The sequence below is a fragment of the Homo sapiens genome, chromosome 11 (genome assembly GCF_000001405.40).
Source record: "Homo sapiens chromosome 11, GRCh38.p14 Primary Assembly".
Taxonomy (NCBI): Eukaryota; Metazoa; Chordata; class Mammalia; order Primates; family Hominidae; genus Homo; species Homo sapiens.
The window spans coordinates 108,300,650-108,319,732 of NC_000011.10; the positions used below are offsets into that span (position 1 = coordinate 108,300,650).

Sequence of the window (19,083 nt, forward strand, 5' to 3'; positions counted from 1 at the left end):
TGTATATTTCTTTCTTTTGTTGTTGTTTTTGTTTCATTAAACAAATTTGTATGGTTTCTTTCCAAACATTTTATTATAAAAAGTTTCAAACATACAGCACAATGGAAATAATTTTATAGTAAACACCCATATGCTTATCATATAGTATCTATATTTTATGCTGTCCTTGCTTAATCACTTCTAGCCATCCGTCTATCCTTGTGTTAACATGTATTAATTCATCTCTCTCTTTTTTTTTTTTTTTTTTTTTTGAGACAGGGTCTCGCTCTATCACCCAGGCTGGAGCGCAGTGGCATGATAATACATCATAGATCATAGCTGACTGTAACCCCAAATTCTTGGGCTCAAGCAGTCCTCCTGCCTCAGCCTCCTAATGTGCAAAGTTTATGTGCTTGAGCCACACCACACTCAGCCAGTTCATCTCATTTTTTAAATGTATATCAAGGTATATCAAGCACAGTTTTTGAAGAGAGTGCCACAGAAAATTTGCGAGCATTAAATGTTTCATTCATTTCATAGTAATTCGAAATTGGTTTTTCTGAAACAGATGCACAGAAATATTAGTGTGACTTCAACTTAAGAATACTAGGAAGCAGGTACAAGTTTTTTGTATTTTTCTTTAACAGGGAAAAACTTTAGATCTTCAAGGGACTTTAGCATATGAAGATGTGGACAAAAGGATTCCCAGAATTTTTATTACTTATATGTATTAGAACATATTATTTTCAAGTATTTCTTGAGTCTTTTTAATTTATAGTAGTCACAATTAAACTGTATTGAATGAAGGGAATTGCAGTTGCAGTGATTAGTAATTCAAGTTTACTGAATGACTAGTGAAAGTCCTTTGATACTTTTATTTGATATTGGAGAATTTTGTAAATGTAAAGTTTCCTAATACAAATTTTAAATTTTAGTTTTGAAATTTTTTCAGTGGAGGTTAACATTCATCAAGATTAATAACTGGTGTACTTGATAGGCATTTGAATTGTTTTTTTCAGTGTCAAAGTTCGATCAGCAGCTGTTACCTGTTTGAAAAACATTTTAGCCACAAAGACTGGACATAGTTTCTGGGAGATTTATAAGATGACAACAGATCCAATGCTGGCCTATCTACAGCCTTTTAGAACATCAAGAAAAAAGGTCTCTTAAGTAATAAATGTTTATTGAATACCCAGCATATCTAAAACAGTTCTGTTTGCTGTGGGTCATGACTGTTAAATTGCTTGAAATAGTATTGTACTAACTATTAACCTTTCCTATAAGTAATTTAAGCCATATTTCATAAATCCAGGGAATGTGTTATTTTTAATTTATTATGGCAGTGTGGAAAAGCTCAGATAGGTAACCTGAGGAAATAGTAGTTGATTTTTGGGGGAGGGGAAATTCTTAAAGACAGACCTTGTTTTTTTAGAAATAGAAAGCGCTACTTTGCTCCCATGAAAGCTGTTAGCTCTGGGTATGGTTTATAGTTATTGTGATCCACAAGTGTTTATTTCCATGTCAAGTTAACATATCACAATCCCCTGGTGAAATATAGGAAGACCCATAGATTTCTCCCTTTTTCCATGTTGATATCGTAATAAGGTTCCACTGTAAGTATTCTGTGAAGCATGTTTAAGAACACTTGTTCCTTCCTTAGTCTAAGCATTCCTCTTTACTATCTTCTTTTCATAAAGTGACTGAGAAATACACAGTTTAGTTTTCACCAATTTAATTTCAGGGCAGAAACCCAACATTGAAGCAGTACTTTCAGTGCATCATAAATATAATTTTAGTGTTAGTAAAATTACTGGTAATATAAACTGTTAATGAAACTAATAATATAACCTGGAAGGCATTATAATTCTAACATTTTAAAATCTCATTTCATTTTGAAATCAAGTCTCTGTGGTAGATGTGGTCTAGTTTTGTTCAAGAGACAGATGAGTCAGAGTTTGTGATTTGTGTAATATGCTACTAATGAGTGACAGAGCTGAGAGTAGAACCTAATTTTTCTGCTGCCTAAAGCAGCAGTTTTTGCCATACCACTCTGCCTCTTGTATAAACATAAATGTTTTCATCTTAAAAGGTAAACATTGCCTCCAGATTTAGTTTTAACTGTATTTAGCTTTATTCAGAAAGATTTGTTATACTCATTTTGTGTAGGAAAGGTACAATGATTTCCACTTCTCTTATTTACATTTTCTAATCCCTTTCTTTCTAGTTTTTAGAAGTACCCAGATTTGACAAAGAAAACCCTTTTGAAGGCCTGGATGATATAAATCTGTGGATTCCTCTAAGTGAAAATCATGACATTTGGATAAAGACACTGACTTGTGCTTTTTTGGACAGTGGAGGCACAAAATGTGAAATTCTTCAATTATTAAAGCCAATGTGTGAAGTAAGAAGATTAATTAGTCTGATATAATTCCTTGTTTATGACCTGTTTATCTAAAGAGTGCTGTGATACTGCACATCATCTTCACATAATATCACCCCCACTCAAACTGTTGTAAATTTATTAAAGTGAGCATCCGTATTTAGTCATAACTTTATGCATTAGGTTTCAGCTTCGGGATAGCAACATACTAGAGGAGTTCTAAGGGGTGCCTTGAATAATTTGTTACTAATGATAGTTAAAATACTGCTGATTATAAATTATTTGCATTAACCAAGAGCCTGTTCTAACTTTGTTTACGTCTTCTGATAAGAGCACCTTTATTTTCCCTGATATGCTTTCTTGAATAAGAAAAAGGAGTGGGGCAGCAATCAGCATAGCTTTTTTATTTTTGAGGATATAGTACAATTTATCTCAACGAAGAGTAAAGGTACATACCAAATGAAACAAAGTTTGTACTCTTCCATCAAATGTGTAATCTAAAACAGCATACTATGATGCTCTAAGATTTACAGAGTTAATTTATAGCACTGTCAAATGTGATTCAACAGAAATGTGAAAATACAACATCTGATGAGGTCAAACATCTGCTGATTACAGATAACTGATAGAGAAGTATTTTCGTAATGTACTCACATTGAAAGCAATGTAAGAAGCAGTTCTTATTTTCTACAGAAAAAGTAGTGACAGTGAATAAAACATCACCTTCTCTGCAATACTACACCGCACTCATACCAATTCAGCAGAGTGGTACCCTGAACACACATACAGCTTATTTCTCATTAGTGAACAAAGCTAAGATTTTTATAAAGTTTTACCTTTGAGCCAGAAAATAAAATGTTCCAAATATACATATGTACACACCCCATTTGTGGTACTTTAAATTCTCTAGCTCTAAAACTGGTGTTTTGCCTTGTCTTTGGTTTGAAAAAGAAAAAGGGTGCAATTAGTAATCTATAACCTGTCTTATGTGTGTGAAGTATGATGAATATGATGGATATGGAGTGTAATGATTCATTCATATGTTAAATATGGAGTGCGGTGAATAGCAAAAGTAAAGCTGAATACTGTTTTAATGTGCCAGATGTATTGGAGCACTTTTCTGCTCTTTGGAATATACCACAAATAATTACCCAAATTTTATGCCCAGAAGTTGGGCTTATTAAAAAATAAACATTTTTAACATGACTGTTGTAGTTCTTCACTGAGGTTAGAAAATGCATAAAAATCAGATTTCCAACTTTTGTCTTAAACTTTTGATACCTTTTTCCCTCTTCTATCATATCAGAAAACTCCTTCTGTTACTAACGCTTTTCAACTCTGAAATTGTATTTAAAGTGGTGATATAATTTCATTTGTAAGCAATATTCTGTTTCATTATGGTAATGGCCTAGACTGGAAATAAACAGTTACAGTGTCACTAACATATATATTTGATATTGATATACTAGCCTAGTGTGGTTTTTTAAACACCACCTAATACATGTTTTTTGTTTGTTTTTTTAGCAGTATGTTGAGTTTATGGCAGATTAATCTATCATCTTTTAGAAATTTAATATGTCAACGGGGCATGAAAATTTTAAGTAAAATGTATTAATTTTACTCATTTTTACTCAAACTATTGGGTGGATTTGTTTGTATATTCTAGGTGAAAACTGACTTTTGTCAGACTGTACTTCCATACTTGATTCATGATATTTTACTCCAAGATACAAATGAATCATGGAGAAATCTGCTTTCTACACATGTTCAGGGATTTTTCACCAGCTGTCTTCGACACTTCTCGCAAACGAGCCGATCCACAACCCCTGCAAACTTGGATTCAGGTATTCTATTAAATTTTTAACATTAATACTGTAAACTCAGTTCTAGAGAAAGATGGATTTAAGATGGAATCCCACTAAAAGCACTTTACAGGATTAAATCTATAACCTCTAAATTTGTTTCTTCATCTATGGAATGGAGATAAAAGTTGCCAACAGTTGCAACAAGTTTTCAATGAAATAATGTGTGTAAAGTGCCTAGGATAGTACTTGATGTATAGTATTCCCTCAGTACATTTTGGCTATTGATAATGGGTCAACTAATTGAGCTTTCAATATGTGTCAGGCACTGTGCTTGCACTGGCAATATTAATGTGAAAAAGAAACACCCACATTCTAGCAATGGAAAAAACAAACACAATCAGATATTTTAGGTACTGTGGTGCAGATACGATAGAATTTTCATATTTTCAGAGCTCTGGCCAACTCAATTTAAAAAGCAGCCTTTGGCCGGGCACAGTGGCTCACGCCTGTAATGCCAGCACTTTGGGATGCCAAGGTTGGTGGATCACTTCAGGTCAGGAGTTCAAGACCAGCCTGGCCAACGTGGTGAAACCCCGTCCCTACTAAAAATACAAAAATTAGCCGGGCATGGTGGCAGGCGCCTATAATTGCAGCTACTTGGGAGGCTGAGGCAGGAGAATCACTTGAACTCAGGAGGTAGAGGCTCCTGAGGCTCACTAGCCAAGATTACACCACTGCATTCCAGACTGAACGACACAGCGAGACTGTCTAAAAAAAGAAAAAAAACCCTTTGTATAACTATAATTAACATTTAGTGTATATCCTTCTAATTGTTTAAAACAAAAATTGAACTGTACTTTATTTACTCTTATAACCTACTTTCCTTCTATGACATATAATGGGTATTTCTCATGCCAAGAGCATAATAGCAAAAGAAATTCCACCAAGGGTTGGGTATGTATAATACATATATGCATGCTTGAAGGCTCATTATGGGTCAGTTTTTTAAACCTAAATTTTATAAAAGGATACAAAATTCACAGATCTTTATTGTTAACTGTCTTTATTATATATTATTAATGTGTTTTATATGCAAACATAAAGCTAGGTGCAAATTCACTTGTTGTACTTAAAGACCAATCAATTCTAATACAAATGTTGATTTAATGTGATATTTTGCCACAACTAATCTGCTCCTCCCAATCCTTCCAGTCACTTCAGCAAAGGTTGTGATTACTCAGTTCTTCCAATTGTTTCTTTTAGTTTTACTGCTACAACCTTCATTTGACATGACTCTAATGTCATTTAGACTTCAGTTTGCTATGCTTTATATTTTATGTATTTTATTTTCTGTTGGCTAACAGCAATTACAAATCTACTATTTGGAAAAATATAAATTATAAACATAGACATAGATGCCCATCCTGTGATCCTACTAGATTATAGGCTGTTCTCTAAATGATCTAGAATGTGCTTATATGAATTTTCCTTAGGCCACTGAAATGAAAATCCTAAAATAAAAATTCTCATAGAGGCTTTGTAAACTATCTAAAATGTATCTCTTATCTTTAATTGGGAAAATACAGGTATAAGTGATTTAAGCATTTAAAACTTTAATATGTAATTTACAGTACTATTAAAAACAATTTTTATTACATAGTTTAAGGTAATCATTGTTTATGATAATCTGGTAATTTGTTATCATGAACATGGCCAAGACTTTTTTCATGTTTATCACTTATGTATTTATGTCACAACCATTGGAAGGTAAAGTAACTGTTTTATTTTATCTGTATACAGTGCCAATATTTTTATTACCTTAAGTGAAAATTTAAACTTCACATATAAAATTCTGTTATTGAAAAGGAAATACATATTTTTGTAAAATTTAAATGGTGTATCTTTTCTGATGGCTATAAGCCTCATTGCCTTCACTAAACGTCCCATGTGCATCTCAAACTCAGCTGTCCAAAAGCAAACGTGTCATCTTCTTCATCCCTTCCCCCAGCCTACTTTTTTAAATGTGTACCTTTTTGACAAATGGCACTCAGTTGCTTACTCTAGAAACCTCTCTCACGTATTTCATCTGATTACCAAATCTTGCCAATTCCATATTATGAATAACTTAGTCCATTTGTTTCTCTCTGCCCTTAGCATCCTTACTGCTTTCTAGCTCCATGATTTAGCACAGTTGAAATTCTTTCATTAAATTTTCCAAGTTATTTCTTGCTTCCAGCCATCTCAGATATTATTATTATTGCCTGTAGCACTATCCTTTCCTGCTCTGATGACTATTACTCTTCTTTCAGATATCACTTTTTCTTTTTTCTTTTTTTTTTTTCTTTTTTTCTCTTGAGACAGAGTCTCGCTGTGTCACCCAGGCTGGAGTGCAGTGGTGCAATCTCGGCTCACTGCAACCTCTGCCCCTCAGGATCAAGCAATTCCCGTGCCTCAGCCTCCTGAATAGCTGGGATTACAGATGTGTGCCAGCATGCCCTGCTAATTTTTGTGTTTTTAATAGAGATAGGGTTTCACCATGTTGGCCAGGCTGGTCTCAAACTTGGCCTCAAGTGATCCGTCCGCATCAGCCTCCCAAAGTGCTGGGATTACAGGCATGAGCCATTGCACTTGGCCAGTATCACTTTTTCTATGAAACTTTTCTTGTCTAGGTGAGGTTCCCTCTGCTAAGCTTCTGTAGCATTTTAAACTTTCCTATTATAACACTTATCATATTGTGTTGTAATGTCCCAGGCTAGTCAGTGAGTTCTGTGTGGTCTGACATGATCTGTCTTGTTCATGCTTATATACTGAGGACCTAGCACATAAAAGATCTTATTGAATCAATTAATTAGTCCTCCTTTGAAATAAAATATAAATTACAATGTAAGTTCTCACTTTTTTTAAGATAACAGTTTCTTTTAAAAGCAAAAGAAATCCTATTAAATTCCTTCAGAACCAATTTTGTGTTAGGTACTGCCCACCAGAACCTTATAGCATAGTGGGAGACAGACACATAAACAAGAAGGAAGAAGGTGTGTAAGCAAGAATGCCTGGGACTGAGGGGAGATATTTTTGTTTGTCAGAGTCAGAGCACTTTTTCCGATGCTGTTTGGATAAAAAATCACAAAGAACAATGCTTGCTGTTGTGGACTACATGAGAAGACAAAAGAGGTAATGTAATGAGTGTTGCTTCTTACGTTTAGGATCTAGAGTGTAACTTGTTAACTATCGGCTGAATTTTAACATGATTATTTTAGGTGAAGGTGTTGCAAAGTGTTATATTTAATTTGTGTGATATTTATATCTCCTTGCAGTAATCCATATTCAGGATAGCAGTTTGGTTAAATCAGTGTCAAGAACTCTCAATTCTAGTACCAGCTGTACCAGTAACCATGTTACCTTTGTTAAATTATGCAGCCTTCTTGGCTCCAATTTATTTCATCTATGTTAGGGATAGGAGCAAGTGTTTTTCCAAGTTACATTTAGCTGTATTACCCCTCTTTTTACTTTTCTCTTTGCTTTAGTTCTAAGAAGTAAATAGAGTTGTGTAAATGTCTTCTTTATGTATCTTTATTTTAAGATGTAAGTTTCTTTACTGTGTGCAGTGGTCTCAAAATCTGTGGCAATACTGTGCTGTGACAATGTTTATTTTCTTGTTTCTGGTAAATTGTTTTATAGTATAGTATCTTTGTTCCTGTTATTTCTCATGAGATTTTTAACAGTGCATACAGAAATTGCTAGAATGGATGGTCTGACTGATGAGTACTGCTTGAGAGTTGACCAGAACTCTGAAGAAATAGTGTAGTAGGCCTATAATTTGAATAGGTAGGAATCGATGTCTCATAAGTGTGTATGGTGGTGGTAGGGGTGGTTGGTAAAGAATGAGAGGGAGAGGTGAGTGAAAAATGAAATGTTTTTAAGCCTAAATGCATTAATATCTTAAAAAATTAATTCCTATGTAGTCTTAAACCATTCTTCTTCTCTAGTAGAAAAAGAAGTTTTATGCTTTTCAGTGTCTTTGCTTCTGGTTATTTTACCTTAGAGTTTTATACCAGATTATCTTCTGAGGAGGCCTATCAGAAGCTTTAATGTAGTGGAGAGCATTTGTTTTCTTGGTGTTGGGAGGCAGTTTTACCTTTGAGTCATTCATTTCAGACTTACCATTGGGGTAGAATGGTGTTGACATTAGCAGGAGTTGGAGAAGATAAAAATTCTTCATATTCCATTTTAATGCTGAATAAGATCCTGAAGAATATTCCTGGAGAAAGTATGAATGGGATATAGAAAAACGGGTAAAGACATGCATTCAAGTCCAAGCTTGTGCTGTGTAAAAATTACTTGTTATCCTGTACAGTATGTTGGGCAAAAACAAAGAACAACAATAAAACAACAACAACAAAAAAATTGCTTGCTGTCTTTGAACCTCAGTCTTATCATCTTTCAAAATCAGAATAATGTCTGTAGTGTCTTCCTTTCCATGGGGAAATTATTTCACTTCTCTGAACTTAACATTCATCGGAAAATTAACTTTAGTTGAGTGCTTGCTGTGTAGTAGGGTGTGCCTTATTCATCAGCTTTGCAGGCATTATTTAATTGTTGCACCCATTCTCCAAGGTCCATGTTGTTCCAGCATTTGCAAGTAAGGAAACTAGGAAACTGAGGTTTAAGAAGTTAAGTTGCTGAAGATCACACAGCTGGTAGTAGGCAATATAGCTAGATTTGAACCTACCTGTATTGTACTTCAACACTAGTGCTCTTAAGCACTACCATGTCCCATCTCTACAATGCTAGTTTTGAAAAAGATACTATCTATGGTCCCTTTCAATCTTGACCTACCTATTAACACAGTGGAAGATTTTTATTAAGTAACTCAACCTAGGCAATACATTAAGGAGAAAATAAGTCACAATAGGAAAGACATGTATTTGTGTCTTAGATGAAACAATATTTTTTATTAAATTGACTGTTTTAAAGTGTGTGTTGGGGGGTGCTTGTGTGCATTTGTATTAGCTATTCTGTGTATCCTATTCTTAGTCTGTGGTACATGGATTTCTTGGTAGAGAGCAGATATGAACCCCAATTTTGTATCAGGTGATAGTCTACAGGTTTTATCAGATTCTCTGATAGGTTTGAGGGAAAAAAGAAAAACCAAAAAGATTAATTAAATAGGACTCTTCAGCCATGTTATCTTATAATGTTTATAGGTATATATTGGGGAAATGTGGTTTTTGGGAATTTGTAATTTTCTGTTAAGCAGTCACTACCATTGTATTCTATATCAACATGCTTTTATTTTGATATTGAAGTTTAAAAAAGTGAATGACATTATATCTCATTTTTCTTTAGACCTTCTTCAGGAACAATTTTTAATGATGCTTTCTGGCTGGATTTAAATTATCTAGAAGTTGCCAAGGTAGCTCAGTCTTGTGCTGCTCACTTTACAGCTTTACTCTATGCAGAAATCTATGCAGATAAGAAAAGTATGGATGATCAAGAGAAAAGGTAATGGAATTTAGAATTTTTGGTTTTTAAAATTAATGTTGGCATTGTCTCAATAAGGGTATATAGTAAAGATTTATTTTGCCTCCTGTTCCCCATTTAAAAGATATTTTAGATAGAAATTTTGTTTTAAAGTGAAATTATAATAAATTTTTAAAAAGGAATATGTAATTCCTGTTCTGAAATAATAGGAATGCTTATTACTTAGGTATTATAAAAATTTAACAGATAGCAAATTCCTATAGGACAGAGTCCATACTTAATTTTCTGTATATTCCCCATAATAGCCCTAGCATTGAGAACTTAATTTAAGGGTGATAAATATTTTTCAAATGATTAAATTATTTCCTAACTTCAGTCAGATTAGATTTACCACTAATTTCTAAACTATTCAAGATTCATTTTGGATATAAAATATCCAAAATTATAATCCAAAATGGCTATAATGTGACTGATTTATTTCTGTGACTAATTAAGTTTCATTTCTTTATCTACCTATATTTCTAGTGAATTTAATTCGCTTTCCTCTGACTGAGTTAGAACTGTCATAAGAATCTAATAAATATACTCCTAGATCATGGGGAAGAACAAAAAATAAGAAAGTAAGAGTAAAAAATAAAGTAAAACACTTTATTATCCCAACTGCTCTTTTCAAATGTTTGTTCGTTTGAAATGGCCTGGGTCTCATTATTTCGCCCAGGCTGTGGTGCAGTGGTGCGATCATAGCTCACTGTAGCCTTGATCTTCCGGGCTCAAGTGATCCTCCTGCCTCAGCCTCCAAGTAGCTGGGACTATAGGCACACACCACTGCATCCAACTCATTTTTTTTAATTTTTATTTTTAATAGAGACAAGATCTTGCTATGTTGCTCAGGCTGGTCCCAAGCTCCTACGTTCAAGCAGTCCTCCCACCTCAGCCTTTCAAAGTGCTGGGATTACAAGCATGAGCCGCTGCACCTGGTCCCAAATTGTTTTTTAAAGCGGTTATACCCATTTGTGTACAGAAATGTAGTTGATAAGGAAGTGGATCGGTAGGAAGCCTTATATTTGAAGAAGGGTGCCAAAGTATAACTGTTCCTAGTTTAGTTAAAAAAGTAAAGAAGGTTGGGCACAGTGGCTCACGCATGTAATCCCAGCACTTTGGGAGGCCAAAGTGAGAGGATTACTTGTGACCAGGAGACTGAGACCAGCTTGGGCAACATAGTGAGACCTCAGCTCTACTAAAAATAAAAATAAATCAGCTGGGCATAGTGGCCTGCACATGTAGTCCCAGCAACTCAGGAGGCTGAGGGAGGAGGATCGCTTGAGCCCAGGAGGGAGAGGCTGCAGTGAGCCATGATTGTGCCACTGCACTCCAGCCTAGGCGACAGAGCGAGACCCTATCTCATAAACAAAAAAAAAAAAATTAAGAAACTGGAATATGTATATAGGTAAATATTAGAGGCAGTATCACTTATGATAGTATTTATTTTATGTACTAGATTATTACTGTTATAGACACCACAGCTGTCATGGTTTTAGAATTGAAGTTACTTACAGAACTGAATGTTATATGTATAAAATGCATAAAGTTAAGGCCTTGAAGTAGGCAAATCTGAGTTCTAATCCTGACTGTCAAACTTTCTAGTTTTATAGTCTTGGTTTAAGTGGATCCTACTGATCTACTTCCTTTTCAATAGTTAATATCAGATGTCTTAAATTTATATCTGTTAAGTATTAAATTCTGTCTTATTGTGGTCTTTATTTGTGTGTCTGTAATTATTGATTGGGTTGAATTTCAGGTGAAACCACTGACAGAGTATATAGTACCTGAATTGGATGGCATCTGCTCTATTTTTAAACAATCCAATCTCTTTATAAATAATCATATTTTTGCATATAGGCTTCCCATATGTAGATTATTCTTAAAATATAATTTTCATTCACAAATTCCTTTTCCATCCTAGGTATAAATGGTATTATGTTTTAAAGTATAAGTGATTTATTCTGTTTTGTTTGCCACCTTCATTAGTTTTTTTCTGTCAAAGTCTATAGTATATGTATTCAGGAGCTTCCAAATAGTATGTTCTCATTAAAAGAGGTGTTCTTGTGACAAACAGAAGTCTTGCATTTGAAGAAGGAAGCCAGAGTACAACTATTTCTAGCTTGAGTGAAAAAAGTAAAGAAGAAACTGGAATAAGTTTACAGGTAAATATTAGAGGCTCTATTATTTATGACAGTATTTATCTCATACTTTGGGTTATTTTGTTATAGACACTGTACAGATGCCATGTGATTTTTAAACTGAATTTACTTACTGGACTAAGCATCATATATATAAAATTATGGTCTGAAGCTTAAGCCTTAGAGTAGACAGACTTGAGTTCTAATACTGACTCTGCCACTTCTTGAGTTCCTTATCTGAAAGACGAAGGTAAAACCACCTGTCTCAGAGTTTATGCCATGCATTTTCTGCCATAGCACCCTGTTCATTTCCTTTATAGCACTTAGGGTTTATAATTATATATTTATTTGTTTGCTTGTTTATTGTATGTTACAGAAGAAGCAGATTGCCTCTTCTATAAATTTCTTGATATCCATTCTTAAATTGGCTCATGTTACTGTCTGGGATGCTTGCCGAATTTCTTTGGTCAACTCATTCCTCCACAATGACAATTTCAGCTTCTCCATTCTGCTTAAACCTCTCATCTTCTCTTCTATGCCGCTGCTTTCAGCCTGCCTCCTACTTGGAGAAAATAGAAGGCATAGAGAGGAAATCTCGCCACATCCCACTCTCAAACATTGAAATCTCCTGGCATCTCCTCCTTTAATAATCTTCCGTCATGTTACAGAAACAGTTTATCCTTCTATTTGAGACTAATTCTTCCTGTGCTTTGTTTTTTTATCTGCTCTTTCTCAGGTGCTTTATTTTTTAATATGCTGTTCTCCCTCTGAACTATGTTCTGAACATTTTAAAACCTCTCCTGTTTAAAAATTCCCTTTCTCACAAAGACAAAATAATTTCCCTCTTCCCTATGTTCTCTTTTAGGTATCACCCTCTCTCTTCCTTCCTCTCACAGACAAACTTTGTGAAAGAGTTGTCCATATTTGCTGTCTGCATTTCCCCCCCTTCCATTTATTCCAGTAAAATAGCACTTGCTAATGTCTCTCATAAACTTCATGTTGCTAAGTCTGGTGGTCACCTTTCATTCTTCCTTTTCCTTAATGTTTTATTAATACTTCACATCATCAACCATGCCTTGCTTGAACTGTGTTCTGTTTACCTTTTTGATCCACTCTCCTGATTTTTCTCCTTTCACTTTTGCCTTCTTCATAGGCTCCTCCTCTCTACTGAGTTTTTGGAATATCGTGTGTGTACTAAGCACTGTGCTAAGCATGGGTACTGAACTTTTCTACTCTGAGGACTTGATTTCACGTTATGAATAGAAACATTTGAGTTGGAACTATAGAATTATGCCAATATAAATGAATTTGTGTGTAGAAAATATTTCACAGAGCAAGCACCATATAGGCAGTTCAATTGCTTGATCAATTTTCTATGCAGTATAGTTCCTAGTTTTTTCTATTTTATTTTTTTTATGTTTTCATTTTTATTTAACTGAGATTGTTTTAAACAGAATATATCTTTTCTGTGTAAATTTTACAACAAAGATTTCAGTAACCAAACTACTTTATCCATATCAAATTTTACCAATTCCAATACAGTTTTGTGCTATTTTTCAAAGAAAAATCCACGACCTTTATTCTTACCAAATTGAGTTTTCAAGAGTCAGACTTTGTAGGACTGTATTTTCTAATGTACAGTTTTTTTGTTTTTTTTTCCAGACAGGATCTGGCTCTGTTGCCCAGGCTGGAGTGCAGTGGTGCAGTCATAACACACTGCAAGCTCTGCCTCCCAGGCTCAAGCCATCCTCCAACCTCAGCCTCACAAGTAGCTGGGACTACAGGCATGCCCCACCATCTCCAGCTAATTTTTGTAGAGATGGGTTTAGCCATGTTGCCCAGGCCGATCTTGAATTCCTGAGCTCAAGCAGTCTGCCTGCCTTGGCTACCCAAAGTACTGGGATTAAAGATGTGAGCCACTGCACCCAGCCCATGTACAGTTTTAGGTGTTGACAAGATTGTTTGGTTTTGTTTGTGTGATTTTTTTTTTTTTATGTGATATAAGCCTGGTAGGTCGGTACTTATTTCTTATCTAATTCATGAAATTGTAGGCAATTCTTCTCGGGTAGACTACAGTCCTCCTGTTGTCTAGGACCAGTCTACTGTGTTGCTGATCCAAATCATTAGTATATACAGTTGACCCTTGAACAGTGTAAGGGTTAGAGGTGCTAACCCCCTGTGCTATTAAAAATCAGGGTAAAACTAAATTAGTAGTCAAAAGTTAACTACTAATAGTCTACTGTTGACCAGAAGCCCTACCGATGATATAAACAACACAATTTTGTATATGTATTATATACTGTATTCTTAAATAAAGTAGCTTGAGAAAAGAAAATGTTATTGAGAAAATGATAAGGAAGAGAAAATGCATTTACAGAACTGTACTGTGTTTATCAATACCGTAAGTTTATATCATCTGTTTACAAAGAATCATCTGTCTGAAATTGTAGGCAACCACTGCTGGTTGATATGTACTTTAGGCCTCAATCTACAGAATGTATCAAACAATTCACCTTTTTCTTGTAATGGCATGACTTTTCTCTGCATCTTGGAAGCACCTCCAGCCACTGTGGTGTTAATCAAGGCTTATAGTATTGCAGTAAACACAGTGAAAAAATACATGAGAACCTGGAGAGATTACTTTTCATTTCTGGATACAATTTACTAGAGAAATGAACTGCTCATGTGGAAATTATTAGTGTCACATGGCATTTTAAGCAGATACTCACAACACAATAATGCTTACCACAGTAGCAACTGAGGTAGCTGCAAAATTATTACAATAGTACAATATGTACGATAGTTAATCTTATGCAATTATGATTTAATACTGCATCTTTACATTTGTTTATATTTGTCTTAACCACAAATAATGCTGTGTACAGTGTGTGTGTGTAAGTTTTGATAAATTTTAACTCTTTGTAATAGATTTGTGTATATTTTATGGTAGTAAATGATGAAATGTATCATATCAAATGTATACAAATGATGGAATGTGTAGACTAGTTGTACATTTATTTTATGCATTCATGACATAACTTTTAAAAAATTTTTCAGTAGTTCTAAACTGTGTGGTTTGTGAATTTTTTCAAATTGTGGCAAACCTCCAAAAAGTTTTCAATATATTTATTGAAAAAAAAATCCACATATAAGTTGTCCTGCACAGTTCAAACTCGTGTTGTTTGAACTGTATTTCAGAACTGTATTTCAGAATCATTACATTTTATTTCTATAACATAACATTTAGAGTTGGGAGTTACATATTGGTAATGATACAATTTAAAATTTGCTAAATTTATAGACCGATTTTTTTTCCTTCTTCAATTTTTGTTGTTTCCATGTTTTCAGGATCTTCTCTTAGAAATCTACAGAAGTATAGGGGAGCCAGATAGTTTGTATGGCTGTGGTGGAGGGAAGATGTTACAACCCATTACTAGGTAAATTGCATTTTTCTAAACAACGGTATAGTAATTCTGTTTATGAAGGAGTTATGTGTGTGTAAAACCCAAAGCTATTTTCACAATCTTTTCTTATAGACTACGAACATATGAACACGAAGCAATGTGGGGCAAAGCCCTAGTAACATATGACCTCGAAACAGCAATCCCCTCATCAACACGCCAGGCAGGAATCATTCAGGTACATTTTTTCCCAGATTTGGTAAAGCCATCACTAGTGTAGTGCTGAGGTTATTTCAGTATGTTGGTGGATATTTACACAGCCAGATAAACTCTAGAGATAAGACTAGAACTTATCTGTTTTTCAGAGGATTAGGCTAAACATTCAGGGATACTCCTGAAGCAGAGGGATGCAAAAAAAAGAGAAAAAATTCAGGGAGACACAGGAAAGTCAGACAGGTCATTGACCTAAAAGATAGTGTAGATTTCTTGATCATAGTGTTGTTGGATAACAACAGAAGACATTGCTCGAGCATATACAATGTGCCAGGTAGTGTACTTACTGCTTCACATGGAAAATCTTATGTAAACTATTTCTCATAGTTTGCAACAGAGTTGGTCCCAGAACCTGTTGTTTCTATTACTGGCTAATACTCCTTAGCCATTCTTCCATGAAATATTAGAGCCCTTTGAGCTCTATTTTTGTGTTTTTTGGGAAACATTAAACGATATTTTGGGATTAAAAAAATGTTTTTGGCCAGGCGTGGTGGCTTGCGCCTGTAATCCCAGCACTTTGGGAGGCCGAGGCGAGCAGATCACGAGGTCAGGAGGTCCAGACCATCCTGGCTAACACGGTGAAACCCCGTCTCTACTAAAAATACAAAAAAAAAAAAAAAAAAAAAAATTAGCCGGGTGTGGTGGCGGGTGCCTGTAGGCCCAGCTACTTGGGAGGCTGAGGCAGGAGAATGGCGTGAACCTGGGAGGCAGAGGTTGCAGTGAGCCGAGATCGCGCCACTGCACTCCAGCCTGGGCAATAGAGCGAGACTCCATCTCAAAAATAAATAAATAAATAAATTTTAGAGATAAGGTGTCACCCTGTTACTGATGCTGGAGTGCATTAGCGTGATCATAGTTCACTGCAGCCTTGACCTCCCTGGCTCAAGGGCACCTCTCGCTTCAGCCACCCAAGTAGCTGGGGCTACAGGTACACACTACCATACCCAGCTATTTTAAAAAAAAAAAAAAATTGTAGAGACAGGTCTTGGTTTGTTGTCCAGGCTGGTCTCAAACTCCTGGGCTCAAGTGATCCTCCTGCCTCAGCCTCCCAAAGTGCTGAGATTACAGGCATGAGCCACCACACCCAGCTGATATTTTGGGATTTTAAATGATATTGTGAACTAAAATTTGTCTAAGTTAATTTGTATCTTTGCTGTTTTTTTCTCTGGTTTTCTGTTGATATCTTTGATTACTTAACTTAAAAACAAAATAACTCCTGTTTAGGCCTTGCAGAATTTGGGACTCTGCCATATTCTTTCCGTCTATTTAAAAGGATTGGATTATGAAAATAAAGACTGGTGTCCTGAACTAGAAGAACTTCATTACCAAGCAGCATGGAGGAATATGCAGTGGGACCATTGCACTTCCGTCAGGTAAGAAATTTGACTTGATTTTTTTTTTTTTGCCTCTCTCCTCATTCTAAACAACAACTGTTTTTCTCTTCTATGAATATAACAGGAGTTGTTTTATATATATATATATATATATATATATATATATATATACACACACACACACACACACACTATATATATATACATACCATATATATAGTGTGTATGTGTGTATATATATATAAAAAAATATATAGTAGATGTTGCAAGCTATAGATAGCCCTAAATCCTTCAGTAAGATAGCAATAAGCAGTTAATGCACCTAGGCTTGAATTTTACTCTCTTATTCCATTAGGACAACTTCACCCCACCCCTAAATATTTCTAAAAACAGAAATATGAAAAGGGTTTTCGAAATGAGTATCATCTCGCATAGTTTGTTGGACTGAGGCATGCCAAGAAAAGTATAGGCATTCCTCTTTCTACTTCCTGCTACAAACATTTTAGTCAGTAAGATAGCACTTATATTGGCTGGAGGATCCACAAAGGACTGCTTATCTTTATTTATGAAATATTTTCTTTTATTAAAAAATAATACGGCCAGGCACGGTGGCTCATGCCTATAATCCTAGCACTTTGGGAGGCCAAGGCGGGTGGATCGCCTGAGCTCAGGAGTTTGAGACCAGCCTGGGAAACACGGTGAAACCCTTTCTCTACTAAAATACAAAAAATTAGCCAGGCGTGGCAGCATGCGCCTGTAGTCCCAGCTACTTGGGAGCCTGAGGCAGGAGAATTGCTAGAACACGGGAGACGGAGGTTGCAGTGAGCTGAGATAGCACCACTGCACTCCAGCCTGGACAACAGAGCGAGACTCTGTCTCTAAAAAAATAAATAAAATAAAAAAAATAATATGCCTACTCAGGGCTGGGCACAGTGTGGTGGCTCACACCTGTAATCCCAGCACTTGGAGAGCTGAGGCAGATGGATCACTTGAGATCAGGAGTTTGAGACCAGCCGGGCCAACATGGTGAAACTCCATCTCTACTAAAAATGCAAAAATTAGCTGGGTGTGCTGGAGCATGCCTGTAATCCAAGCTACTCGGGAGGCTGAGGCAGGAGAATGCTTGAACTTGGGAAGCAGAGGTTGCAGTGAGCCAAGATTGCACCACTGCACCCCAGCCTGGGCGACAGAGTGAGACTCTGTCTCAAAAAAACAAAAAAAACACTCAGTTACCCAGGAAGATAACATTTATAATCTGTATATAAGGTCACCATGTTTTCTGAATGAAAAGCCAAGCACCTAATCTAATAAAGGATTTCATATTTATGTAAAGTTTTTTGATAATGTAAACCCTAAAAAATTAATTATGTTTAAGTATGTTTTGTTGCCTTTGTAGAAAAAAAAAATTATTGGCCGAGCGCGGTGGCTCATGCCTATAATCCCAGCACTTTGGAAGGCTGAGGAGGGTGGATCACATGAGGTTAGGAATTCAAGACAAGCTTGGGCAACATGGTGAAACCCCATCTCTACAAAAAAATACAAAAGTTAGCTGGGCAAGGTAGCATGCATCTGTAGTCCCAGCTGCTTGGGAGGCTGAGGTGAGGGGATCCCTTGAGCCCAGGAGGTGGAGGTTGCAGTGAGCCGAGATCATGCCACTGCACTCCATCCTAGGCAACAGAGTGAGACTCTGTCTCAAAAAATAATAATTATTGGAATGCCTTTCAAATATTTCAGACTGTAAGACTGCTATAAAATTAGAGATATATCCTCATATTTTAAAAACCTTTTCCTGTGCGAGTTGATTCTTGCTTGCCTCTGTAAATCAATATATACTATTCTTCTCCTTCCTCTTGTATTTCAGCTACACAGACCTCTCTGTGTTTTCTTGTCAGGCCAAGCTGTTTCTATCCAAGGGCCTTAGATGTATCTTCTCCTTTTCCCCCAGTTACCATGCGGGTGGCTTCTTTTCATTCGGACCCTAGTTAAATAATAATGTATCTTCAGAGAGGCCTTTCTTGATTACCCATTCTATAATAGCCATCTAGCCATTTTGTTTTGTTACCCTGTTTTAATTCTCTGCATGTCCCTTGTTACTTTCCAATACTTATTTATTGTCTGTTCCTCCAAACCAGCACATAAATTCCATGAGAGTAAAGACCTGATCTGACTTGTCCACTTGTGAATTCCCCTTGTGCCTAGTGCCTGGCACATAATAGGTATTTATTGAATAAATAAATGAAAGTAGAGCAT

At 35.6% G+C, this 19,083-nt stretch overlaps 2 protein-coding genes across 26 annotated transcripts in view; one reads left to right on the plus strand and one right to left on the minus strand.

Annotated features, from left to right (window-relative positions):
• The window catches only part of ATM (ATM serine/threonine kinase), a 146,036-nt gene that overhangs the window by 77,583 nt on the left and 49,370 nt on the right, over positions 1-19,083 (plus strand). For all 15 annotated transcript variants that reach the window (XM_011542840.4, XM_047426977.1, XM_006718843.5 and 12 more), the window contains 9 exons: positions 999-1,140; positions 2,204-2,380; positions 4,026-4,203; positions 7,248-7,335; positions 9,511-9,666; positions 11,762-11,849; positions 15,174-15,262; positions 15,362-15,464; positions 16,724-16,872. In XM_011542840.4, the coding sequence (XP_011541142.1) occupies positions 999-1,140; positions 2,204-2,380; positions 4,026-4,203; positions 7,248-7,335; positions 9,511-9,666; positions 11,762-11,849; positions 15,174-15,262; positions 15,362-15,464; positions 16,724-16,872 (1,170 nt within the window). The remainder of the gene's footprint in view (positions 1-998; positions 1,141-2,203; positions 2,381-4,025; positions 4,204-7,247; positions 7,336-9,510; positions 9,667-11,761; positions 11,850-15,173; positions 15,263-15,361; positions 15,465-16,723; positions 16,873-19,083) is intronic.
• The window catches only part of C11orf65 (chromosome 11 open reading frame 65), a 161,363-nt gene continuing 150,149 nt past the window's right edge, over positions 7,870-19,083 (minus strand). For all 11 annotated transcript variants that reach the window (XM_047426461.1, XM_047426467.1, NM_001330368.2 and 8 more), the window contains one exon: positions 7,870-8,422. In XM_047426461.1, the coding sequence (XP_047282417.1) occupies positions 8,198-8,422 (225 nt within the window). In that variant the 3' untranslated portion in view covers positions 7,870-8,197. The remainder of the gene's footprint in view (positions 8,423-19,083) is intronic.